This window comes from Homo sapiens, chromosome 4, assembly GCF_000001405.40.
Source record: "Homo sapiens chromosome 4, GRCh38.p14 Primary Assembly".
Lineage (NCBI taxonomy): Eukaryota > Metazoa > Chordata > Mammalia > Primates > Hominidae > Homo > Homo sapiens.
Window position 1 is genome coordinate 110,552,761 of NC_000004.12, and position 24,720 is coordinate 110,577,480.

At 37.2% G+C, this 24,720-nt stretch overlaps 1 protein-coding gene across 7 annotated transcripts in view; it reads left to right on the plus strand.

The window, feature by feature from the left end:
• The window catches only part of ENPEP (glutamyl aminopeptidase), an 89,131-nt gene extending 76,606 nt beyond the window's left edge, over window positions 1-12,525 (plus strand). For 5 of the 7 annotated variants that reach the window (NR_166842.1, NR_166844.1, NM_001977.4 and 2 more), the window contains 3 exons: window positions 555-695; window positions 6,887-6,965; window positions 8,646-12,525. Coding sequence is in view for 5 of the 7 variants with exons in the window: in NM_001977.4 (NP_001968.3) it covers window positions 555-695; window positions 6,887-6,965; window positions 8,646-8,798 (373 nt within the window). In the remaining 2 variants the exon portion in view is untranslated. Of the gene's footprint in view, window positions 1-554; window positions 696-1,591; window positions 2,159-6,886; window positions 6,966-7,202; window positions 7,517-8,645 lie in introns of those variants that run through there. The other 2 variants (NM_001379611.1, NM_001379612.1) reach the window with 2 other exon arrangements.
• The last annotated feature ends 12,195 nt before the right edge of the window (window positions 12,526-24,720 follow it).

A 24,720-nucleotide genomic window follows, 5' to 3' on the forward strand; every position in this document is an offset into this window, starting at 1 on the left:
AATTTATCTTGTACTTATTTGTATTCTTAATTATTGCCAACTAATATAACCATATAGGTTACATTATAGGATTATTTCTTACAATCTAGGGAAGAGCAAACAACTGCTTTCCTATAGAATATAAGAGCATAGATACATTCTCTTAATTTACTGGCTTCTTTTAAAAATCCAGTGGGATAATGGGAAAGTGTGTGAAGTACTCTATTCAATAAATGCTGTTTTAAAATATTAATGGTTAAAATTAACATTTTAATTTTTAAATTAAAAACAATGTGTTTTAAAATTGTTTTTGGTGCTTCTAAAATAATTTAATTTTAAATGTTTTATAGTTTACATTCCACTAGTCTTTAAAATCATAGGTTGGTCTTTTAAAACAGTTAAACATATCAGAAAATTTTAAGTTGTCTTTCATCATTTGTCATATTTAATTAACTTTGTCAGTTGATACCTCAAGAATTGAATTGCTGGCATGAAAACTATTTTGTATTGGAATTTAGCTAAGGGTGAACATTAAAAGTTCACTTTGAATTGTTTTTCTGTTTGGCTTCTCTTAGGTATTTGGATTTGCTCAAGGACACGAACCTTATTAAAACTCAGGATGTGTTTACAGTCATTCGATATATCTCATATAACAGCTATGGGAAGAACATGGCCTGGAATTGGATACAACTCAACTGGGACTATCTAGTCAACAGGTGGGATGATCTGATGATGGTCTGCTGTTTTCTTTGTTTCATACTATCTACTGGTTCCTTCATTTTTCTTTGGGCCACTGTCTCTGACATCTATACAATATCTAAAATGGCATTATTAGAGGTAAAGGATCATGGTATTATCCTTCCAGGGAAGCAATGTACTAGTTAATTTTAAGAACAATTTTTTTCTGGAAATTATTGTTTCAACTGACCTATAGGATTCTGAGATCTGGAAGACTAAATTGCATTATTTTTAGTTTGGTTAAAACAAGTTAATACAATTCTGCCTGTTGTGCTAGTACCTAGCATAATGCCAGGCACATATTTAGTTCTCAATTAATGTTTGATTAAAGCTAGGTAAAAATTATTGGACCTGGGTTCAAATTAGAGTTCTATATCATACTGAGCTTATGTGGGTGATAACTATTACCTATCCTGACCAGATAATGAAATTTCAAGTATTTTGAATGTTTCTTAAAAGGGAATTATATTTCCTAGGCAATAGAACTTTTAAAATGGGAAATAGCAAGGACAAGAGCAAAATCAGTTAAAGAGATGCCTTTCCAAACTTCGTATTTCCTCAGGCCCGTGCAGAAGAAAGATTGCTGCTCTTGGTTCTGATACTCTAAATATAATGCACAATTTCCATCCAAAAGGCAGTTCTTTGATAGAGTACAAAATAGAATATAGAATAAACGTATGTCCCAAATAAACATATAAACATTGATGAAAAGACCTTTACCATCTGTAATCCCTACATTAGGAAATAGCCTGTGTTATCTCCTCTTAATCTCTCCTGTCAATCCAGCGGCACTGTCTCATTGATAATGACTGCCTTGTGAGAAATACCAACTCTAATTATAACTTTTAATTATTTTCTCTTTTCTACCCCACAGCTCACCAGAGTGCTATTATGTCCATTTACATTTCTTTTCCTGCTGAGATTCAGATTCTACCTCTAGCTCCCAACCAAAATACACTACATTGCTTCTGCCTGCTTGTGATAAATTTTTACCTTTTCTATTCTTGTAACTATTGAGTGTCACTGTTCACCCATCTCTATGAAGATTGGTTGGTGTGCATGTGAGTGTGTGTGTGTGTGTGCACGCACATATGTGCATTGTTCATCTTTTATGATTGTTTAAATGAAATGCTTAATTTAGAATGAATGAATATACCTATTAAGAATATGTTATTATCTAGATGTAACAGTTTATATCATGCAAGGTAATACCCTCCATTTTGAAAAATATATGGCTAGTGATAAATACTGCATATTTTGTTTTAGTTGAAAAGACCATACAACTATCTCTTTTTCTGTGGTGTATGGTGCAGGAAACCTATGTAGATGAAGCATAAAAGTTACTTTTGAGTTACTATGAAAAGACAAGTAAATAATGGTTTATTTTGCATAAAATGGCCATTAACTTATTGTTTATTGAATAAATATTTCTCAAGGCCTATTTGAGTAGCTATGCTGTGATTTATTTCAAATAATGCATTTTTCATTTTTAAAAATTAGTTGTTTCACTTCAGGAAAATTAAGAAGTAGAAAAAAATAGGTTTTGCCTTGTCATAAAATTCATAAGTGTCTGGCCTTAAAATAAATGTATTAGGCCTGGTAAATTGATTATTTTTCAAGATAAAAAAAGAAGATAAACTATTTCCAGAAGTACTCCAAAACTCTTGCCCAAGGCTTTAGCATTTCTTCATAATCTAATGATCTAATTCTCATGAGACATTATTTCAAATGGCCCCAAATGTAAAATTGCTAATAACCACATGTCTAATACACACAAACACCCAATATTAATTGTACTTGGCTTGAATAAACAGAACTTCCCTATGAAAATTGGATAATAAAAATTAAACAAAAATGAGCCAAACTTTATCCAAATAATCCCAAACACTTGAACATTTTCCAAATTTCAGGATGAATAGTTTTACTATCTCCATTTCTGAACAATTTATGGTCATCCTGAAATAAATAATCTTCTATTTAAATAAAGCTTTTGTCATGTGATTTTTATGACAACTGATGGCCACACTGCTAATGTCCTTGCCAGTTTGAGACTTAGCCACAAAGTCCCAAAGATACTTCAGAAATTATTCTTTGCTTTTGTTTCTTCCAATAAACTCTTAGATGAAACTGTGAAGTTGAGTTGACCCAATAATAAGGTGGTGTGATTTTAGTTTATGACAGTAGATGAAAAACTAAGTCATTAGGACATGATTGAAACCCTTCAAATACTACCTCATAAACCAAACAATTTAATAAGCACTTAAAAGTTTTGTGTGTATTAAAATTATTTCTTTGGATAACATAATAATACTTGTATAAATATTGAATCCAAGAAGACAATATTTGTAAATTTTTTTCAAATTATTTAAAATATAATTAAATCCTTATTTTAGTTTTTAAAAATAACCAATATGATAAGCATGCAGTATATTTTCCCTTATTTTCTATACTTTATATGATATTAGTTTCCTGGGGTGTACATATTTTGTTCTGGCATTTCTGGTATTTAAACAAGTAGTTGCAGTTTTCACTCAGCATATTCATTGCTAGTTTCTAAATATGTCCTTTAGACAAAACAGAAATAAATATTACAGAAATTATAGAAGGTCACTGAAAACATTGTTTTATTAGCTGCAATTAGCAGACTTTCTTTGAATCTATAGAATCTCATCAAAGCAACTCAGTGTGATTTGCTTTTTTAAATTCCTGTTTTCTTATTGTGAAACTGGTATGTGTTTTTTGCACAAAATGCATACAAACAAAAATAAGAGTACAAAAATTACCTGTAATGCAACCACCAAGAAATAACTCCTATTGTCATATTACTGTTTCTCCTTGAGTTTTTCCATGGCTGTTTACTTAATTTACAGAAATGGAAACATATTATAAATATGGTTTATAACTTGCTTTTTTTCCTCATCATCCTATATTGTGGGTGTCTTTTCATGTCTTTAAGTGTGCATCTTCAATATTATTTTGAATGGCTTAATAATGTTTCAATGTGTACATACATCTTAGTTTATTTAGCCAATCCCTATATGTTGGACAATAGAATTGTTTCCCTACAACTATACGTAGTGTATTGATGAACAGTCTTGTACACTGAATCCTTTGTTGTTTTTTTTAATGTCCTTGACAATTTCTTTAGAATACAAGTAGTGGTAGAAGTAATGCTACTGGGTGAAAAGATGTGTTTATTTTTAGGGTTTCTGATAAATGTTGCAGAATTGCCATTCTAAAAACTGTTGCTAGTAACTGCCTATGTTCCCAACCTTTTTCAATGCTCAGTGTTGTTATTTTTATGTATCTTTGTTAATTGAATATATGAAAACTGATATCTCATTTTAAATTACATTTCTTCCATCCAGTAAATATTGTGGAGCACCTACTCTGTGCTAGGCATTATGACTGGCATTGGGGATGCAGTAGTAAGGAGAAGCAGACCTGGTTCTCTGTCGTCATGAAGCTTTGAGTAGAGACAAATTTTAAGTAAAGAGTCACACAAATACATGTATACTTTATTATACGTAAATTATTAAAGTATAAAAAAGTTCAGGTCTTAGGCAAAAATGTTATTCAAAATGGTAGACCATGGAATCTAAACTACATAAAGAAATAAATGCAAGAATAGGAAGATCTGATGGTTTAAGTGATAGAGGGGTGGGAATAGTCAAAGGGCCAGAAGTCCAGGTAAAGTGAAAGAACAGTCACAGTGGAAACTGAAAGACATAACATGTCATAGAGGGTGAATAAATTAGCAATTTTAGAGGCAGATGACTTACGGATGATCACAAAGTATCTTAGGAATTTGGTGGCTGAAGTCGAGTGAAGAAAATATCATCGGAAATAAGGTTAAGGAACTAAGAGAAGAGATGTTATATCATTCATCTGTATGGATCTGGAAATTACCTAGAATGATGGCATGGCTTGGAGGAGTCAGGTACCAGAATGTATCATTAAATGCGAGGGACTAACATAAGGGAACAGAGGTTTTTAAAGAGGCTGGAGGAATGCTGGTCTGGAAGCAGCAATGGGGAGCATGAGCACACTGACTATTTCCTGACCTGATGCTACAAAGGATGTGGGAATATAAACATTCTCTTAAGTGAGAATGAGAAGTAGTGTTCCCTGTAAAGGGACAGTTCCAGAGGGCTAGGTGAAAGGGTTCAAGAGCCTGGGGAGATCTAGGAAATGTGTCAGAGGCCAGAAAGTACACACTTTTAGGGGCAGCATTACTAATGCCTCAGAATCACATTTTAGATAATGACTGATGACATTAGGGATGAAAAAACATATTGGCTTTAAATTCAGTGGCGTCTGTGATAAGAGTGGGCACTGGATCTGGTACACTGAAATCATGCTTGATTACTAGAACATTTTATTCTTTTCCCATTGGTACATTTTCATTCCTTTGCTAAATTCATGCTGGCATATTTCTCCCTGTTACCAATTTGTAAGGGTTCTTTATATGGCAAAAATATTTGCTCTTTATCATATATATTACAACGATTTGTTCTCGATTAGTATTTGGCTTCTAATTTTGTATATGGTAGGATTTTTTTTTTTTTTTGTATAAAACTCTTTTGTTACCCAGACTAGCCTTGAACTCCTGGGCTCAGTGGATCCTCTCATCTCAGCTTCCCAAGTCACAGGGATTACAAGGGCAAACCATCACCTCCCAGCTCAGTATAAAAGTTTTTAATTTGCATAAAACAAACTATCAGCTTTTATCTTCATGATTTCTGCTTTTGCATATATATATAGGAATGGAAACATTTAATATTTATAAAAATTATATATATATATATATATATATAAATTTTTTTTTGAGACAAGGTCTCACTCTGTCACCCAGGCTGGAGTGCAGTGGCACAATCTTGGTTCACTGCAGCCTCGACCTCCCCAGTTCAAGCGATCCTCCCGCCTCAGCCCCTAAAGTAGCTGGGACTACTTGTGGGGCGCACACCACCACGTGCCCAGCTACTTTTTGTATTTTTGTTAGATATGGGGTTTCACCATGTTGCCCAGGGTGGTCTTGAGCTCCTGACCTCAAGCCATCTGTCCACCTTGAGATCGCAAAGTGCTGGGATTACAGGCGTGAGCCACCGCAGCCAGCCTGTAATAATTTTTAAATGTAAAATTTATCCTATTGCTGTGTACATATTTTCTTGTATCCCTCCTCAACATTCCAGGGGTTTAAGGTTTATATATAATTTTGTGGGTTTCTTGCACTGTGATTAGTTGTGATGAGATTTTTTTTACCTCTATCACAACCATTTGTGGTCTATGAGGAAACTTCTGGTTCTTGCTTTTTATGAAAGAAAATGCAAAGAGAACAGGGGTAGAATATCATCTTTAAAATTCTGTCTTGGAATTTAGCTTTAGGTTTCTCTGCTTAGGCAGACTGATATAGATCATAACCCCCACATGCCAGCAACTAATAAAGCTTTTTGAAAGCAGAATAAATAGCCTATATTTAAATTTCTGTACCAGTAGGAAGATGCATAGAGTATTAGGATAACGATGCTGGAGGTGTTCTGCCGTAACGGAAACACAGAAAGGCAGCCGCTGAAAGGGCATGTGTGGGTAATTAGTTCTCACTATGGTTAGACTCCTGAAGTGAGTGGTCCAAGTTGTTAGCGTGCTTCTGCTCTGTGAGGCCAGGCCAGTATCCTGTCTGCATGGCTGAAGACGAATCACTGGTATGTACATGTTCTAGCTTGGGGGAAGAGGAGAGAAAAACCAGGAAGTCTAGGCAAGCAATTTCCCTTTATTTAAGCAAGGAAGCTGCAGCTGAACATTGTGCTAATGTTCTGTTGGTAAGAATTGGGTTACCTGTGGACATCTAGCTATGAGAGAGCCTGAGAAACAGTCTCTAGCAGGGCGCTCATGTGTGCAGAAAAAAAAAAAACAGATTTGGGGACTACAACAAGCAGTCTTCCATATCTCAGAGGGTCGTGTCAATTTGTCTACCAAAAGAAGTGCAGAGTGTACTAAGAATTTATCTTGAATAGAATGATTTTAAGTAAAATGGGTTTTCTTACTGTGTTTTGCTTACTTTGAAAGTTACTTTTAAAAACTATGAAATAAAAAGGAAACATCTGCATTTAGAGAAAATATGTAACATTCTGAGCACTTACACTTCCTTTTACTCTAAATTTCTCTCCAGATATACACTCAATAACAGAAACCTTGGCCGAATTGTCACAATAGCAGAGCCATTCAACACTGAACTGCAACTGTGGCAGGTATGAAGATAAATTCCTCTGCATTTGTCCAAGAAGGAGCAGAATGAAACTTTTTTAAAAAAAATTTTACTTTAAGTTCTGGAATACATGTGCAGAATGTGCAGGTTTGTTACGTAGGTATACACGTGCCATGGTGGTTTGCTGCACCTATCAACCCGCCATCTAGGTTTTAAGCCCCGCATGTGTTAGGTATTTGTCCTAATGCTCTCCCTCCCCTTTCTCCCCACCCCCTGACAGGCCCTGGTGTGTGATGTTCCCCTCCCTGTGTCCATGTGTTCTCATTGTTCAGCTCCCACTTATGAGAGAGAACATGCGGTGTTTGGTTTTCTGTTCCTGTATTAGTTTGCTGAGAATGATGGTTTCCAGCTTCATCCATGTCCCTGCAAAGGACATGAACTTATTCTTTTTATGGCTGCCTAGTATTCCATGGTGTATATGTGCCACATTTTCTTTATCCAGTCCATCATTGATGGGCATTTAGGTTGGTTCCAAGTCTTTGATATTGTAAACAGTGCTGCAATAAACCTACATGTGCATGTGTCTTTATAGTAGAATGATTTATAATCCTTTGGGTATATACCCAGTAACGGGATAGAATGAAACTATTTTTTCAAATAGAAATGATATTTTCTCAATTCAAATCACAGAAGACAATGAGAAAGAAAATTCTTTTTGGTTTTGTATTTTTAAATTGTATATATTTAAGGTGTAAAACATGTCTTTATTTATCTTGATAAGTATACACAGTGAATTGAGAAATAATTCTTGTATCTAATAAAATGTACACCTATTTTTTTTCTAAACATAAAACAATTCAAAGAGCCTCTAAGAAAGTTTAAAAGCTGCAAAAGTTGAGGTGGCGGGGGGCTGAGAAGGCCACACCAGACAGTTCAGCTCATGAAATCATGGGCAGAAAGTCTCGCCTCTCCTGTAAATGTAACTCTGGAACAAGTTGGTCAAGATTTGATTCCATTCAGAATTCATAGTTTTGCAATTTCAAAACTAATCTCAAATCTTTCCGGTTTCAAATATCTCAAGTCCAAAGGAGGAGAAATGTCTATTAATGTTGAACAGGTAGAGATTGTATGAAGTTTCAATATCTGTGTGTTAGATATTGAATGCTAAGAGTTTTCTGTATGTTAAAAAGCCAAATTATTCTTATTTTTATAGCAAATAATCCTAGTATGGTTGAGTTTGGGGTAGGGCTTTGGAGGTCAGAGGGAGTACAGCACTAATTTTAAGAAAGATTTGTTTTATGAGTCCTTAATAAGTGAACTGAAAGTACATTAAAATACTCCAGACTCCTGGAGTGAAAGGCTAAGGAAAACCATCACTCCATAGGTGAGATTTTCCAGGGAACACCTTGGGGAATTCAGAGAAAATAGAGAAAGCAGCAGAAACAGAAATGGGCATGCTAGCGACTGACATGCTGCCATCCTTCTCCAAAATGTCAGAGCCTATTTTGGCTTGACATGCTGTGGGGATCCAAAAGCCATGGGTAACTATTGCTAATCTGAGAGATGGGTTCAGTCTGAATGATGCGCCAGAGGTGTAGCTCAACGTTGTGCAGTGATACTGAATTTCTAGGTAAGAAGAAAGCAAATCCAGTTTGTGAATGAAATTCTTGAAGACTAATTTGGCTATAAATGACAATCCTAATTACTCCCCTCTCTTTTCTAGATGGAGAGCTTTTTTGCAAAATATCCACAAGCTGGAGCAGGAGAAAAACCTAGGGAACAAGTGCTGGAAACAGTGAAAAACAATATAGAGTGGCTAAAACAACATAGAAACACCATCAGAGAATGGTTTTTTAATTTACTTGAGAGTGGTTAATGTATTCAAATGTTAGAGTTTAATTTTGTGAATCTATTGTTTCTCCTCTGAAGCATTTGGTGGCCTAATTTACAAGCACGATGGAGAGAGCCTTATAAACAGATAATGCTTTTACTAAGCACTGTGTTTATATGTCTTGCAAAGCCTTTAAATTGTTCCTCTTTGTTTATGAAGAAAGATACTAATAGAGTACTTAATATACTCAGGGATTCCTTCTAAGTGTACTTCATAAGATATTCTTTACAAACTGAAGATAATGAAATAGTTATTTTAATACCTTTAAATATCATTCTTTGTATCTTAAATCTGTGAAGTAGAACAATTTGGTCTTAGCTTTACATTTTCAGTACCAAAGAAACACCACTTAATCTTCTCTCTTGATTGATTTTTAAAGTTTAAATACCAGTACTTGAGGGACCAATATTACCATCTTAATCTTTATTTTATTATTCAGAATTATACAGACCTAATATCATTTTATTCACATATGTCTTACTACTTTAAATCCTACCAAAGTAACCTGGGCTTAAGTTTTACTTGAGGATCATATGAATTAGCCAAAAGAATGGCTGACTGTTGCCTTTGCTCTTATAAAATCAATAAGAGAACTCTCCTCTTTTTTTAAAAATAAATCTAAATGATTATCTTGAAAAAGTATTGTTTTCCAGTGTCACTTGACTCTTGAATAAAAATAACTGCAGTGTTCCCCAAATAATTTAACACATTGCAAATATGATTCAAGAATCTGGCCTTTTTCATGCTTGGTACTCTCTTCTCTTGCTCCATTCCTTACAAAGCTCCTTCAAATATGCTATGAAATTAGAGGGAACATAGTGCTTAACTCTGCTCCATGGATTTTAGAGGAAAAAAGCTAAATAATTGGAAACTGTTCAGGAAAGAGAGAAGGCAGATTATTTCTTAAAACTAAATGGAATTAGAATTTAGCTTTGACCTCACCTAGCAATCTAAGTGTGAAAATGGGGAGACCTGTGGGCATCCCCAGCATGACTCTGCATATCTGAGCATATATCTCCTTATAGATCAATTTTATGTATAAACCCTTAGATCCTAATCCATACAGAATAGCACTGATCAAATTTAAATGCATGACTTGATTAAAGACATCAATTTCATAGAAGCTGGTGGCAAGAATATGTTTAATATGGCACTTGATACCTCCTAGATCCATAATGTAAGTCCAATAGGCAGAAAAGATGGTAAGTTACTATGTTTCAATCTGCTATATCTAGAAAATCTAAATTTATTTGGAACTTTCAAAAATGTAAGGTAATTTAGAATCGGCTTGATGAGAATTGAAGCATATGGAAACAAAACCTTAGCTTTAACTTTATTTATACAATAATGTGCCCTAATCATGTACTCTGAAACTTTATAAACTTTCCTGTTGCTGTTTCTTAATTATCACTTCTCAATCCGTACAGCCAAACTAGTAAATTCAAATGTAGACTGGGTTGTGGGTGGCAGATATAGAAGAAGAAATTTCCAGACCAAAAAATATTAAATATTATTTTAAATTATTTCAGAAGCAAAAACATATTAACATCATAACTTACCAGAAAAACCCCACTATCCTCATAAGATTAACTTAAAATTCTGACCACAATCAGAACCAGCACTTGAAGTCTATGTATTGTTTCAAGTAGGACATATTATGAGGTGAGATGGTTTATCCTTCTGTTTTATGAAATTAATACATTTTAAAAGAAAAATGTTAGTTTAAGGGGGTGGTAAATAAAACAGATTTCAACTTGCCTACAAGACATTCTATTTCATGCCTTTTCCTTTTGTTGTTCTATTTCATTCTATTTTAAGCATTAAAACTGAGAACAAATTGTTTACTTCTTTTCACTCCACACGCGAAAGAGTTGTATGTACTTTGTCAGAATAAGTCTTCTAGACCATCAGGTCCTTCTCAAACAACACCTGTTTTTTAAAAGGCTGATGCCTAATAGATAGATCTATGCCAAGCACAGTTTATTACTTTGCTTGCTTGGTTTTGCACAGTATTCACAGGGGACAAAAAATTTAATATGATGTTTCCAAAATTAAGCCACAGTAAATTTAAATAATTAATTTTAATTGAAAAAAAGTAACCATTTAATTTCAAGAATTAACTGGAAAATATGGGAAGCAAGGTCATGTAGCAAAAAGCAAGGCCAGTATTACTGCCTCCCCTCTAGGCAGCCCACTCCTGTATTCCAGATCATTGCTATGTACCCACATAATTATAAATTAGGAGTTTAAATAATAAAACATAGACGTAAAACTGACAGGCAAGGGAGGTTTGGGAAACAGGGGTGAGATGTATACCTGGGTTGAAGGTAATGATACTCCTACAGCTTACCCTCCAAGTTGGTGAAGTGTTAGTCCAAAAGTAGAAACAACAGAGTAGGGGCAAAAATCTAGAACAATAATTCTCAAAGGGAATTGGGGGATGAGAAGGAAGTAGAAAAGAGGGGATTCAAATTACCAGTGGTGCTTTCTAAAACACGGTTAGGTAATCATCATCATCAGACTTTCCTTTTTTTTTCAAGCATTTTTATAAACACTAGCACTCCACATAACATTAATTTTTACAAAACCCCCTTAAAGTAGATACTGTTATTGTTCTTATTTTAGAGTGGATAAATTGAGATGGAGAAGTTATAGAACTTGCACAAGGCTACAAAAGTTGTATTTGGCACCAGCCAGTATTTGAACCCAGGCAGTTTATCACTCTAATCTACATTTTAATCTGTATTAGAGTAAAAATATGCTTTTGAAATCAGAGTGACCTGGGTTGGAATATCAACTACTTGGTAGTTGAGTGCTTTTAACCTCTCCATTGTTGTTTCATCTATAAAGTAAGGATCAAAATAGTAGCTACCTCAATGGTAGTTGTGAGGATTAAATACAAAAATGCATGTAAAGGACATACGTATAGGAAATAACAATCACTCAATAAGTGTTAGCTCTTATTATTGTTACTATTATATCTCCCCATCCCTACTTAAGACACTAGTTTGAAGAATAAAATAAACTTTGGTTCAGGAATAACCAAACCTAAGCAACTGAAGGCACTAAGGGTAGGCTATGTGTTAGCCTGTGTTATTGTTCATAAATAGTAATTGCCCTGGTCTGGAAGAGGATTCTATATCCTACCCCATTGTAGTCTAGCATGGTATGTGACTTGCTTTGGCCAGTGAAACAGAGTGAAAATGATGTATGTCAATTTTAGGCAGAAACGTCCAGAGCCAGCACTTGGTTTGCCATGTTCTCCGTGTTTCTTCTGCTCCTAGATGCAGCAGTATTCCAGATAGAGGCCGCACTATGAGCCTGAATTCCAGGATAAAAACAACATGGAATAGAACTTAGCCAGCACAGAGTACACATGTGCTGTAAATGAGAAATACCCCTTTGTTATTGTAAATCACTGAGATTTTGAGGTTGTCTGTTACTGCAGCATAATCTAGCCTAATATAAACACCAAACTAATATACTCCTCTACCATAGTAATTTATTTCTTGTTCTTTCTCCTCCTCCTTCCTCTACTTCAGGGTTTAGCGACCTTTTGCCTGCCTGTTTTTGTAAGGCCTGAAAGCTAAACATAGTTTTACATTTTTAGATGGTTGAAAAAATCAAAAGGAGAATAATAGTTCATGATGTAAAAATTATATAAAATTTAAATAAATGTCGGCATCCTTAAATAAAGTTTTATTGGAACACAGCACATACATTCATTTATGTATGGATTATGGCTGCTTTTCCTGCTACAACAGCAGTGCTGAGTAATTGCAATAGATTTTATGGCCCACAAAGACTAAAATATTCACCATCTGGCCCATTACAGAAAGTTTGGTGACCCCTGCTAGATATCATCTTTACTCCTTCCCTCCTTTTGCATTCAATTCTTTTTTTTTTTTTGATAGAATCTTGCTCTGTCGCCCAGGCTGGAGTGCAGTGGAAAGATCATGGCTCACCACAGTCTTGATCTCCTGGGCCTAAGTGACCCTCCTGCCTCAACCTCCCAAGTAGCTGAGACCACAGGCATGTGCCACCACCCCAGGCTAATTTTTTGTAGAGACAGCATCTCACTATGTTGCCCACGCTGGTTTCAAACTCCTGACCTCAAGCAGTCCTCCTGCTTCAGCCTCCTAAAGTTCTTTTTTCTTCTTCTTCTGCACTCTAACCCAGAGTTTCTCAACCTCATCACAATTCACTTTTGGGGCCTGACAATTTTTTTTTTTTTTTAGACGGAGTCTCGCTCTGTAGCCCAGGCTGGAGTGCAGTGGCACGATCTCCGCTCACTGCAAGCTCCGCCTCCCGGGTTCACGCCATTCTCCTGCCTCAGCCTCCTGAGTAGCTGGGACTACAGGCGCCCGCCACCAAGCCCGGCTAATTTTTTTTGTACTTTTAGCAGAGACGGAGTTTTACCGTGTTAGCCAGGATGGTCTTGATCTCCTGACCTCGTGATCCACCCGCCTTGGCCTCCCAAAGTACTGGGATTACAGGCGTGAGCCACCGTGCCCGGCCGGGCCTGACAATTTTTTAGGGCTATTCTGCACACGGTAAAATGTTTAGCACCATCCTTGATCTTTATTCTCTAGTTGCCAGTAACACTTCCTCCAACCAAAAATGTCTTTACACATCATTGCCAAATGTCCTCTGGGTGGCCAAATAGCTTCAATTAAGAATCACCGCCTGACCCTAAACTTGTGAATAGAAGCTGCAGGCATTATTTAAGCACCCAAAATGGTAAGAGAATGCTGCTGACTTAACGTAGTCCTACCTAAGGTTACAGAAATCAAGAGACCAAAAATGCCTGGGGAAAGGAGCAATACTAGAGAGAATGCTAGCCTAAGTCAGGGTTTTCCAGAGAAATAGAACCAATAGGAGCTATATCTATATATAATTTATATGTGTAAATGGAAATTTATTTTATTTACATATGAAAGAAGATATATAAGACTTAAAAAAGAATTTTATTACGAGGAATTGGTTCATGTGATCATGGAGACTGAGAAGTCCCACAGTCTGCCATCTGCAAGCTGGAGATCCCAGAAAGCCAGTGGTGAAATTCAGCCTAAGTCTGAAGGCCTCAGAACCAGAGAAGCCGATGGTGTAAATCCCATTTACAAAGGCAGGAAAAGATGAGATGAGCTCTCCGAAGTCAAGCAGTTAGACAGAAAAAAAGAGGGGCAGGGATGGGCAAATTCCTCCTTCCTCCATCTTCTGTTCTATTTTGGCCCCCAAAAGATTGGATGTTGGATGGTGCCCACCTATATTGGTGAGTACAATCTACTTTCATGAGTCCCCTGACTCAAATGCTGATCTCATCGGGAAACTTCCTTACAGATACACCCAGATATAATGTTTAATATGGGCACTCTGTGGCCCAGTCAAGTTGACATATGAAACTAGTCATTACAACTGAATAAAGTACTCATTCATTCAAATAACTAATATTTATAAATTTTCTGTTATATAATAAACCCTATTTTAGGTACTGGTTGTCCTACATTAGTGAGTGGATTTAGAAAACAATTGGAAAGAGAAACTAAGTTAAGAGAGTAATGGGATAGGATGAGACAAATGGAGAAAGAAGAATGACTAACTTCAGCAGTTGACAATATGTTGGCCTGATATTCCACTAGAGAGCCCTTAAATATTAACCTTTGCCATGTACATAAATAAAATGTCGATGACTTGTTAATGGCAATTTAGATTGTAAATGGCAATTTAGATGTAAAGATCTGCTAGATATTGTCTGCTGGCACTGGGCCACCAATTCTCCCACCTTCTATATCCTGTCTTCCTTAACTGCAGGGCTGGGATGCTAAAGACTGCACTCCCCAGGCTTCCACATGATTTCAGTTCCGCTGATGATGCGCAGTCGTATGAGATTCGGAAGGAAATGAGAGAAGAGGCTATTCTTCTTCCCATGACAGTGCAGGGGGAAACAATGTTGAGGGTAGACATGAATTGGCAGCCTCTGAACTCTATGTCCCTGTCTATTTACTAAAACTCTGCGGTGCAGGGAGGCTCAGATATATTCTCATAATGTCCTCATTTCTGGGTGATCTTAGCAGTTTTTAACGTCTGGATCAGAAAGGTGGAGATATGCCACCTTTAAACCAAAAGGCTGGCATGTACCCTCTAATTTCTATCCCTCAAGGCCTTTTAATGGCATGAAATTGCCTAATCTCCCGAAATAATCCATTTCTGCTTGGAATACCTTGAGAAGTTCCTGAACTGGCACCTGAATTATAAAAAATGGAACTGCAGATTTTATTTTGGTTTATATTTTCATTTAACTCTGTGTTTCTTTCCTGCCCATTGTCTTTAGCATATAAAAAACTGCAAGCAGGGTCTTTTGCTTGGCACAGACTGATGGAATGGACTGACTCTCAGAGAGTCTACTTCAGCCTTGATAATTTTGGGAGTATTAGATAAATGATTACATGTAGCATTTGGAACAGATTATTTCCTGTGGTAAAGGGAAAAGAGCTGGAGCAATGTGTTTTTCTTTTCTGTTAGGACACACAGACCTATTCGAATGCACCATTGATAAAACCATCAAGACTGATTTCCCTAGTTCCTCAAATGTTAAATGTAGAGTTACCAAATGATATAGCAATTCCACTCCTCAGAATGTATCCAGGAAAAGCAAAGCCTATGTCCACACAAAAACAAATACATAAATGTTTACAAAAGGATTATTCAAATAACCAAAAAGCAGAAATGAAAATAATTGAAATGTCCATCAATGGGTGAATGGATAAACCAAAGAGGGTACAGCCACAAAATGGAATATTATTCAGCCATAAAGAAGAACATAGTGACACATACTTTAACAGGGGTGAACCTTGAAAATATGCTAAATGAAAGAAGCTATTCACAAAAGGCCACATATTATATGATTCTATTCATATGAAATGTCCTGAATAGCCAAATCTATAGTGACAGAAAGTAGACTGGTGGGTGTCAGGGGTTTGGAATATGGGGAGAGACTGCTAAAGCTTTTTTTTGAGGTGATAAAAATGTTCTAAAATTAGATAATGGCGATGGTTGCACAATTCTGTAAATATACCAAAACCCACTGAACTGTATACTTAAACAGGGTAAATTTTACAGTATATGAATATACTATATTTATCTCTCAATAAAACTACTGCTTAAAGACTTATTTTTCCTCCTGAGCACTTCACTAAAATAAATCACAGAGTGGCACTGGCTGAGGAAGAAGTCTTATAGTCCCTGCAACAGATAGTGATAATTTTCCTTTTGTCAAGGTGCTAATGAAGTTTGTCTCCTTCAAATTACTTCTTTCAGATTTAAGAATTTGCATCATTAATTCTGAAAAATCTTTATATTTTTATTCAAAGATAAAACCCATTCTTATATTGGATTCTTCATCATCAGGACTCCATGTGATCTTGGTAGAACTGAAAATCACAGAGCTTCATTTTCCCCTACCTCTCACCATAATATCCCATCCTCCAATTGCAGTAGTAAATTCAGGAGTATTCACTTGATCTGAGCAGAGTAAATTAATGTATTTATTCAGGGTTATGGTACATAACTATTAGGGCAGCAAAGTTTCTCTTTCTGCTTGGATTACTAATCTAGGAGATTCCTGGAGCTGTTGCTGGTCATTTTACTGCTACATGGAGAGAAACTAAGCAGAAAAAAGCTGAGTTAAGAGAGGAAGGATACAGAGAACCTGACATTATTTGGGACCCTAAATGTATTTAATAGCTACCCGTATATAGACATCCCTTAGATCTTTGAAATAAATGAGCCTATAAATATCAATGTGTAAGCTGGTTTAAATGGAGCCTCTCAGTTTCATACAAATAAAAACTGTCCCCTTTCACCCATAAACTGAGACTAGCACTGGGGAAAGCAGCTAAACTACATAAGGAAAAAATAAAAACAAAATGAAGCAGGATAAAACAAATGGCTTAAAAGATATTAGTTTGTTAACTTAATCATGTGTCATATTAAATTATGTATTTTTAAATGCCTAGGGAAAATTTTAATTTTTATGACGAGCACAAATTTTTAAAAAGTTTATATTGTGTTACTTTTCTACAAGAAGGAAAAAGGCTGTCAACTGCAAAGGCTTATTCTATATTCTTGAATCCTCAGCCTTTTCTGGAATGCACATACTTGTCTAATTAAAAGAACATAATCTGGCTGGACGCGGTGGCTCACGCCTGTAATCCCAGCACTTTGGGAGGCCGAGGTAGGCGGATCACGAAGTCAGGAGTTCGACACCAGCCTGACCAACATGGTGAAACCTCGTCTCTACTAAAAATACAAAAATTAGCCGGGCCTGGTGGCATGTGCCTGTAATCCCAGTTACTCAGGAGGCTGAGGCAGGAGAATCGCTTGAACCCGGGAGGCGGAGATTGCAGTGAGCCGAGATTGCGCCACTGCGCTCCAGCCTGGTCAACAGAGCAAGGCTCTCTCTCAAAAAATTTAGTCTCAATAGTTGTTTCTGATCATCTAAAATTTCGCTCTTGTGCCCATTCTACTCACACTTTCATCTCCACTCTTCCACTAACACTGTGCTTGCTGAAGTCACCTTTCTAAATTCAGTAGTCAGTTCTCAAGGCAATTCTACAGAAAGCCAAAATAATAATGTCTAAGTACAGACTTAACTGATAACTGGCTAAGTCTAAAGTTATATTTTAGAATATCTGACAAATTAAATGATCTGTATTCTTCAGAAAATCTCTCTAAAATACTCAGTTGAATTTTGGTAAGTTTCATGAAAACAAGTGAGTTTGAGTATACATGTTCTCTATTGCTACTTTCACAGTCAGATGAACTGAGGAAATGTTGACATATTCTTATGAAAGTTGAGAGGTAGCTATCTCAATAAAATCCACTCCAAAAATAGAACCATTGTGCAAAGATAAGGTTTTCTTACATCAATAATTTTGCATGCATATACTCTAACACAGAGGCAAAATTATTAAGTTCCCCAAAATTACAGGATGCAGAACATGGCTCCAGTTGTTTTAGTCTATAAAATGTTTTAAGAAAATATTGCCGAGCTTCCTCCTCAGCCATCTCCCCTTGGAGAAAAATAATAATAAAACAACTCTTGATAAAGTAACATAAAATCTATAACTTTAATCAATACATGTTTGCAATTAACACTTCAAGATAAATTGAACATGTATTATAATTGAAAATATCTATGTCAAAATTATAACAATGATTATGCCTGAGTGATAGAACTGGTTCTTATCCAAAGAGTTAAAGGCCTAAGTCTAAGGATCTATAAAAGCTCAAATGAATGTATGCTTTTAGCGAGAGATTTATGCACAACATGATTGTGAAGAGACTACATGCTCTCTAATTTTTCAGAAAAGTTCAAACTTGAAGTTTATTAGGAATAAAGTTATAAAAATTTAGACACAATGCCTGGTAAACTGAGGAGGGGCTTCCTTAATGGAGAAGAATCAAAATGAGTAGAGAGTCACACTTCCAATAGATCATCTAAGAGAGAACACTGGAATTCAACAGAGAAGTGATGGGAAGCACCTAAAGCAAGTAAGGAGGGGGAAACAAGGCAGGCTGTTCATTTGGGATCAGCTGGGAGGCTGAAGAGGATCCTTAATGTGGGGAAAGGGAAAATGAAAGACCCACAGCACTACAATTCCCTATAATTCTAGGCACAGGAGAGTCCCTTGACTCTTGAGGGCTTTGAGAATAACACAGGGAGCTGCCTGCAGACTGTAAAAGGGCATTGCTCCAGACAGAGAGCTCATGCTGGGTCCCACAAACCACTGAGTCTTAAGCAGCTGCAGCACGGTACCATTTTGAGAGCCCAGCCCCCAGTAGAATGCATCCTGTCCTGGTGCTCAATAGCCTGTGAATCTCCACATCTCTGGAGCCCCATTGACACTGCCAGCTCACAGTGGCTACCACCTGGGCTGAGGCAGTAGCCACAATCAGCAACCCTGGCCACCCCAGCAAAAGAGTGGTTATGCATGTTCATGTGTTCTGAGGACAAATTCCACTGTCTGCAGCTGCCATCACTGTGATATCCCCCAACCCCATCCCAAGCCACCTGCCTATTGCTGCTCCCTCTTATTGCCACTCTGCCCTCCCCATTAACAGGGCCACAGTACAGCCACTGTTGCCTCCACGTGAGCATTCAGCCAGAGGCCTGAAGATTACCCTCCCCCTGCCTACAAGAGCCATCACCTGCACATACTACAGGGGCCTGAAGGCAGTACTTCCCAGCCTGGATCAATCCCCTACCTTCGTACCTGAGCACACCATCCAAGGGCCTGGGGATTGCTCAGCCTAGTCCACTGCTTTTGACACCTGAGCACTGCTCCCAGGGTCTGAGTTTGGGCTTTCTCAACCTGCTGCTATCAACACATCTGGCACCCACCCACATGTGCCACTTGTGGGCCTGGGGACTGATATGCCCAGCCTGTCACAGCCACCACCAACAACAGAGCAGACCTCTTCGGCCCAAGAGGGTTGCCTCACCACTGCTACTGATATCACCCACACCATGCCCACTGCCCAGGGGCTCAAGAGCCTACCCACCTGCCTGGCCCACTGCTGCCATTCCTGGTGTCTGAGCAAGCCATTTGGAGGCCCAATAATTGGCCTGCCAGGGCCCACTGACACCAGTGCCAGTATACACCACCCTGAAACCCAAAGACAGACATGTTCAGCCCATTGCTGCCACCACTGGGACCTAAAGATTGGCCTACCTGACATACCACTCCCCAACAGAACTTGCCTCCACTAATAACTGCACCCTAAGCCACTGAGAAAATCACAGACACTATTGAAACTGTTTATAGCCAAAGAAATCATATAGAGACTACATTACTGCATGTACTCAGAACCAAAGCCAAAGTACCCTACCCGACCAACGCCATAGATCCATCTTCAAAAAAAAGTCCTTCCCTGGGAAAGCAAATTCAAATAATTGGAATAAGTGACTGTTACATCAAATGCACAAATATTAAAGTATGGACACAGTGAACATGAAAAAGCAAAAAAATAAGACACACCCCAAAAATAATTAGCTAGGAACAGATCTCAGCAAAAAATCTCAGTGAGATACGCGGGAATATTGAAAAACAATTCAGGATATGAATGAGAGATTTACCAAAGAGAGATATATCATAAAAATGAACCTAACAGAAATTATGAAACTGAAGAATTCATGGAATGAAATACAAAATACATTCCAGAGCTTTGACAATAGACTAGATCAAGAGGAAGAAAGAATCTCACAAACTGGGGGCAGGTCTTTTGAAATAATCTAATCAGACAAAAAGAAAGAAAGAAGAAGAGGAAGAAAATGAGCAAAGCCTAAGTGACATATGGGACACCATAAAGTGACCAAATACTTGAGTTTTCAGAGCCCCAGAAGGCAAAAAGAAAACAAAAGCGTTAAAAACCCCATTTAACAAAATAATAGATGGAAACTCTTCAGGTTTAGCAGGAGATTTAGACATCCAGATACATGAGGCTCAAAGATCCTCAAATAGACACAATTCAAAAAGATTTTCTCTGTGGGACATTATAGTGCAACTGCCAAAAGTTATAGGCAAAGGGAAAATTCTAAAAACAGCAAAAGAAAAGCATCCAGTCACTTATAAAAGAACCCCCATCAGACTAATGGAGGATTTCTCAGCAGAAACCTTACAGGCCAGGAGAGAATGACATATTCAAAATGCTGAAAAAAAAAAACTTCCAGCTAAGTATACAATACTCAGCAAAGTTATCCTTCATAAATGAACAACAAGGTAAAGAGACAACCTGTGAATGGAAGAAAATCTTTGCAAACTATTCATCCAACAGGGGATGAATATCCAGAATATACAAGCAACTCCAATAGTAAAAAGCTAAATAATCCCATTAAAAAGTGGGCAAAGGGCATGAAGAGACATTTCTCAAAAGAAAACATACAAATGGTCAATAAGTATATGAAAAAATGCTCAACATCATGAGTCATCAGGGAAATGAAAATCAAAAACCAAAGTGAGATATCATCTTATCTCAGAGTGTCTATAATTAAAAAGCCAAAAGATAACAGATGCTGGTGAGGATGTGGAGAAAAGGGAACTCTTATACACTGTTGATAGGAATGTAAATTAGTACAGCCACTATGGAAAACAGTATGGAGATTTCTCAAAAAACTAAAAATAGAACTACCATATGATCCAGCAATCCCACCACTGGGCAGTTATTCAAAGGAAAAGAAATCAGTATATCAAAGGGATACCTGCACTTGTATATTTATTGCAGCACTATTCACAATAGCAAAGATATGGAATCAACCTAAGTGTCCATCAGTAGATGAATGGATAGAAAAATGTGGTATATATACACAATGGAGTACTATTTAACCATAAAAAAGAATGGATCCTTTTATTGGAAACAACATGGATGGAACTGGAGGTCATTATGTTAAGCAGAGAAATAAGCCAGGTACAGAAATATAAATTTCACCTGTGCTCACTCATTGAGGTAGAGAGTAGAATGACAGATACCAGAGACTGGGAAGGGTATGTGGGTGAGAGCAGAGTAGGGGAGGGATGAAAAGAGGTTGGTCAATGGGTACAAACATACAGATATATAGAAGGTATAAGTTCTAATGTTCAGTAGCAGAGTGGGGTGACTATAGTTAGCAACAATGTAGTGCGTATTTCAAAATAGCTAAAAGAGAGAACTTGAAATGTTCCAACACATGATAAATGATAAATATTCAAGATGATGGACACCCCAAATCCTCTGACTTGATCATTACACATTCTATGCATGTAACAAAGTATCACATGTACCCCGTAAATATGTAACATATTATGTCTCAATAAAAAACTTGAATGCCTGGTAAACTAAGAGATCCATAATTTGGGGCAAGCAAAGGGCTGTGCTTTTTTTTCTTCCTTTTAAATATAAAGTGATCAACTATGCTGTAGATCCAGCTAAGGTTAATCAATGACTATATATAAAGTTTCAAAATTTAGCTTAAACCCTTAAGTCAAACGTGCAGTCACAAAATGAGAGTAGAACAGAGCAACATGAGATCTATAACATTTAGAGCAGGTGGGCTTGATTTATGAAGCGAAGAGTCCCGGGTTTCAATTGAGATCTGATCTTTGTCATTCACCAAATTCATACTTCAAGTAATTGTGCCCAGGAATCCACTTTAAATCCTGGTTCTGACTGTCATGTTTAAATTTTCTCACATGGATTATTTTATTTTTTTATGTTGGCATTGAGAGGAAAAGGTTCTTTATTTTGAGGCAATAAGGAGTAAGATTTAAGTGTGACAAGATCTGATGCGGATGCTTTGATTTCAAGTGGTACCTCACACATAGGGACATAATTTTAGTTGTGCCTTGTTTTGTTAACTGCCAGTCTTTTTCAAACCAAAAACTAGAAATTATAACTATTAATTCAAACGTATAGGTATCCACAAAGTAAACTAAAGAGTTAGGTTAATCTTTGGGCTATTTTAGAGAGAGTGGAGGGGAAGGATTCTTTCTTGAAGTTTTTCAGAATACTGATCCAAGTGCTATGAGTCCCTAGGAAACTTCTCAGGAAGAAATCTTTCCTGACTGTTAGGTGTGAACTTATTGCTAACTCCTAATGTGTCCTTTAAAGGGGAGGCACCTTTAAACAGAGCAAAAGTACTGGCCTTTCTCTGCTCCTCTCTCACTTACTCCCTCCTGTTTAGCAGCAGGAATCAGGCACAAATGGGTCAACCTACCCTTTATTTTTTCTTTCAGGGATCTTCTACCTGTTCAAAGAAACATGTGTTCTAATATGCTTTCAGCAATGAAGCAAACTTAGCAATAAAGGCTCCCTATAGGATAGGGGAAGTGAGGATGCAGTTTCCCAGAGTGGCTGTGACAGAGTGGTGAGTCTACCTAATTCTTTGGGTTCATTGTTATTACCATACACCTAAGGTATGTCTTCCAATCTAGTTTTAGTCTGTAATAACTCCTTATTTATCTCTTGGTGGGCTGAAAATTCAGCTGGAGGAAAAGGAGGCATATAATTTATGGATGCACTGAAACCCAATATCAATATGGAGTTCCTTCTAGAGTGGCACAAAGCTTTACTTGCTTAGCGATTTCAGTTAACTAATGGCCTATGTAGGATTTTTAGATAAAGGCAGGATTGCTTGACTACTATTATTCAGAAATAGTCCCAATTTTCCACTATTTGCCTCTGTAGGTACATCTTTAAATGTATATTTGTAAATAAAACTAAATTGTTAGCTTTTAACTGACATTTTAATAACAGAAGATGGTCTTAATTACTAGTTAGAAGAGACAAAGTCCTAACGGAGATAGAGCTTAAACTTTACCTTGAAGGATAGTAACATAGAGCTAGAGGGGAACACAAAAAAAGAAAAGGAGGCTGGAGTTTTTCATAACTTTGATATATGTAAGAGAGAGTGAGGGACTAGGATCCCAATGCAGAAAGGAAAATCTGAATTGGCATAGTAGGGCCCAGAATATGTGAAGTCTTGAAAACTAACCCAAGGCCTTTATCCTACAGGCAATCAAAGAACCACTAAAAATTTTGGAACAGAGAAATAAAATGCTGAAAATAAAAAATTAGAAGGAATAAGCAAGTCACAGTGGCTCACACCTGTAATTCCAGCACTTTGGGAGGCTGACGCAGGAGGATCACTTGAGGCCAAGAGTTTGAGACAAGCCTGGGCAGCATAGCAATACCCTGTCTCTACAAAAAAAATTTTTTAAAGTTGGCCAGACATGGTGATGCATGCCTGTAGTCCCAGGTACTCGTGAGGCCGAGGCAGGAGGATCACTTGAGCCCAGGAAGTAGATGTTGCAGTGAGCCATGATCATACCACTGTACTCCTCCAGCCTGGGCGACAGAGTAAGAACCTACATTAAAAAAAATAAAAGGAGAAAGACTAATTTAATTTAAAAAAAAAAAACAAGATGGACAGAAGTAGCCAGAGAATCAATACAATTAAGTAGGAAGTCTGAAGTGATGAGAGCCTCAACAAACCACCTTCCCTTCCATGTGTCAAGTTTATTTAAAGTAAAACGTATGAATGGTTTGTATTTGGTGTGCTACTATGCACTCCTTGATCCACCAAAATAGGATTTCTCCATCTGAAATTGTTCTTGCTAAACTATCACTGACCTATTAATCACTAACTCAATAGGTTTTTTTTTTTTTCATTTCTTATCTAACAAGAACAATCATTAGTAAGATGGGCCAGACATAGTGGCTCATGTCTGTAATCCTAGCACTTTGGGAGGCCAAGGTGGGAGGACTGCCTGAGCCCAGGAATTTGAGAACAGCCTGGGCAACATAGCAAGATGTTATCTCTGCAAAAATTTTAAAAAATAGCCAGGTATGGTGGTGCGTGCCTGTGGTTCCAGCTACTTGGGAGGCTGAGACGAGAGGATTGCTTGAGTCCAGGAGGTCAAGGCTGCAGTGAGCCAAGATCACACCACTGCACTCCAGCCTGGTTGACAGAGCAAGACCTTCTCTCAAAAAAAGTAAAATAAAATAAGCACGATGACTGACCACTCCCTCTTATTAGTTTGTTAGGGCTGCCATAATAAAGTATCACAACCAAGTGGCTTAAACAAGAGAAATGTATTGTCTCACAGTTCTGGAGACTTGAAGTCCAAAATCAAAGTGTGGGGAGGGTTGGTTCCTTCTGAGGACTGTGAGGGAAAGATCTGTTCCAGGCCTGTCTTCTTGCTTGTAGATGGCCATCTTCATGTTCACATGGCATTCTCTCTGTATGTGCATCTCTGTAGCCACATTTTCCCTTTGTCTAAGGATATCAGTCATACTGAATTAGAGACCACCCTAATGATCTCACTTTAACTTGACTGCACCTATAAAGACCACACCTCCAACTAAGGTCACA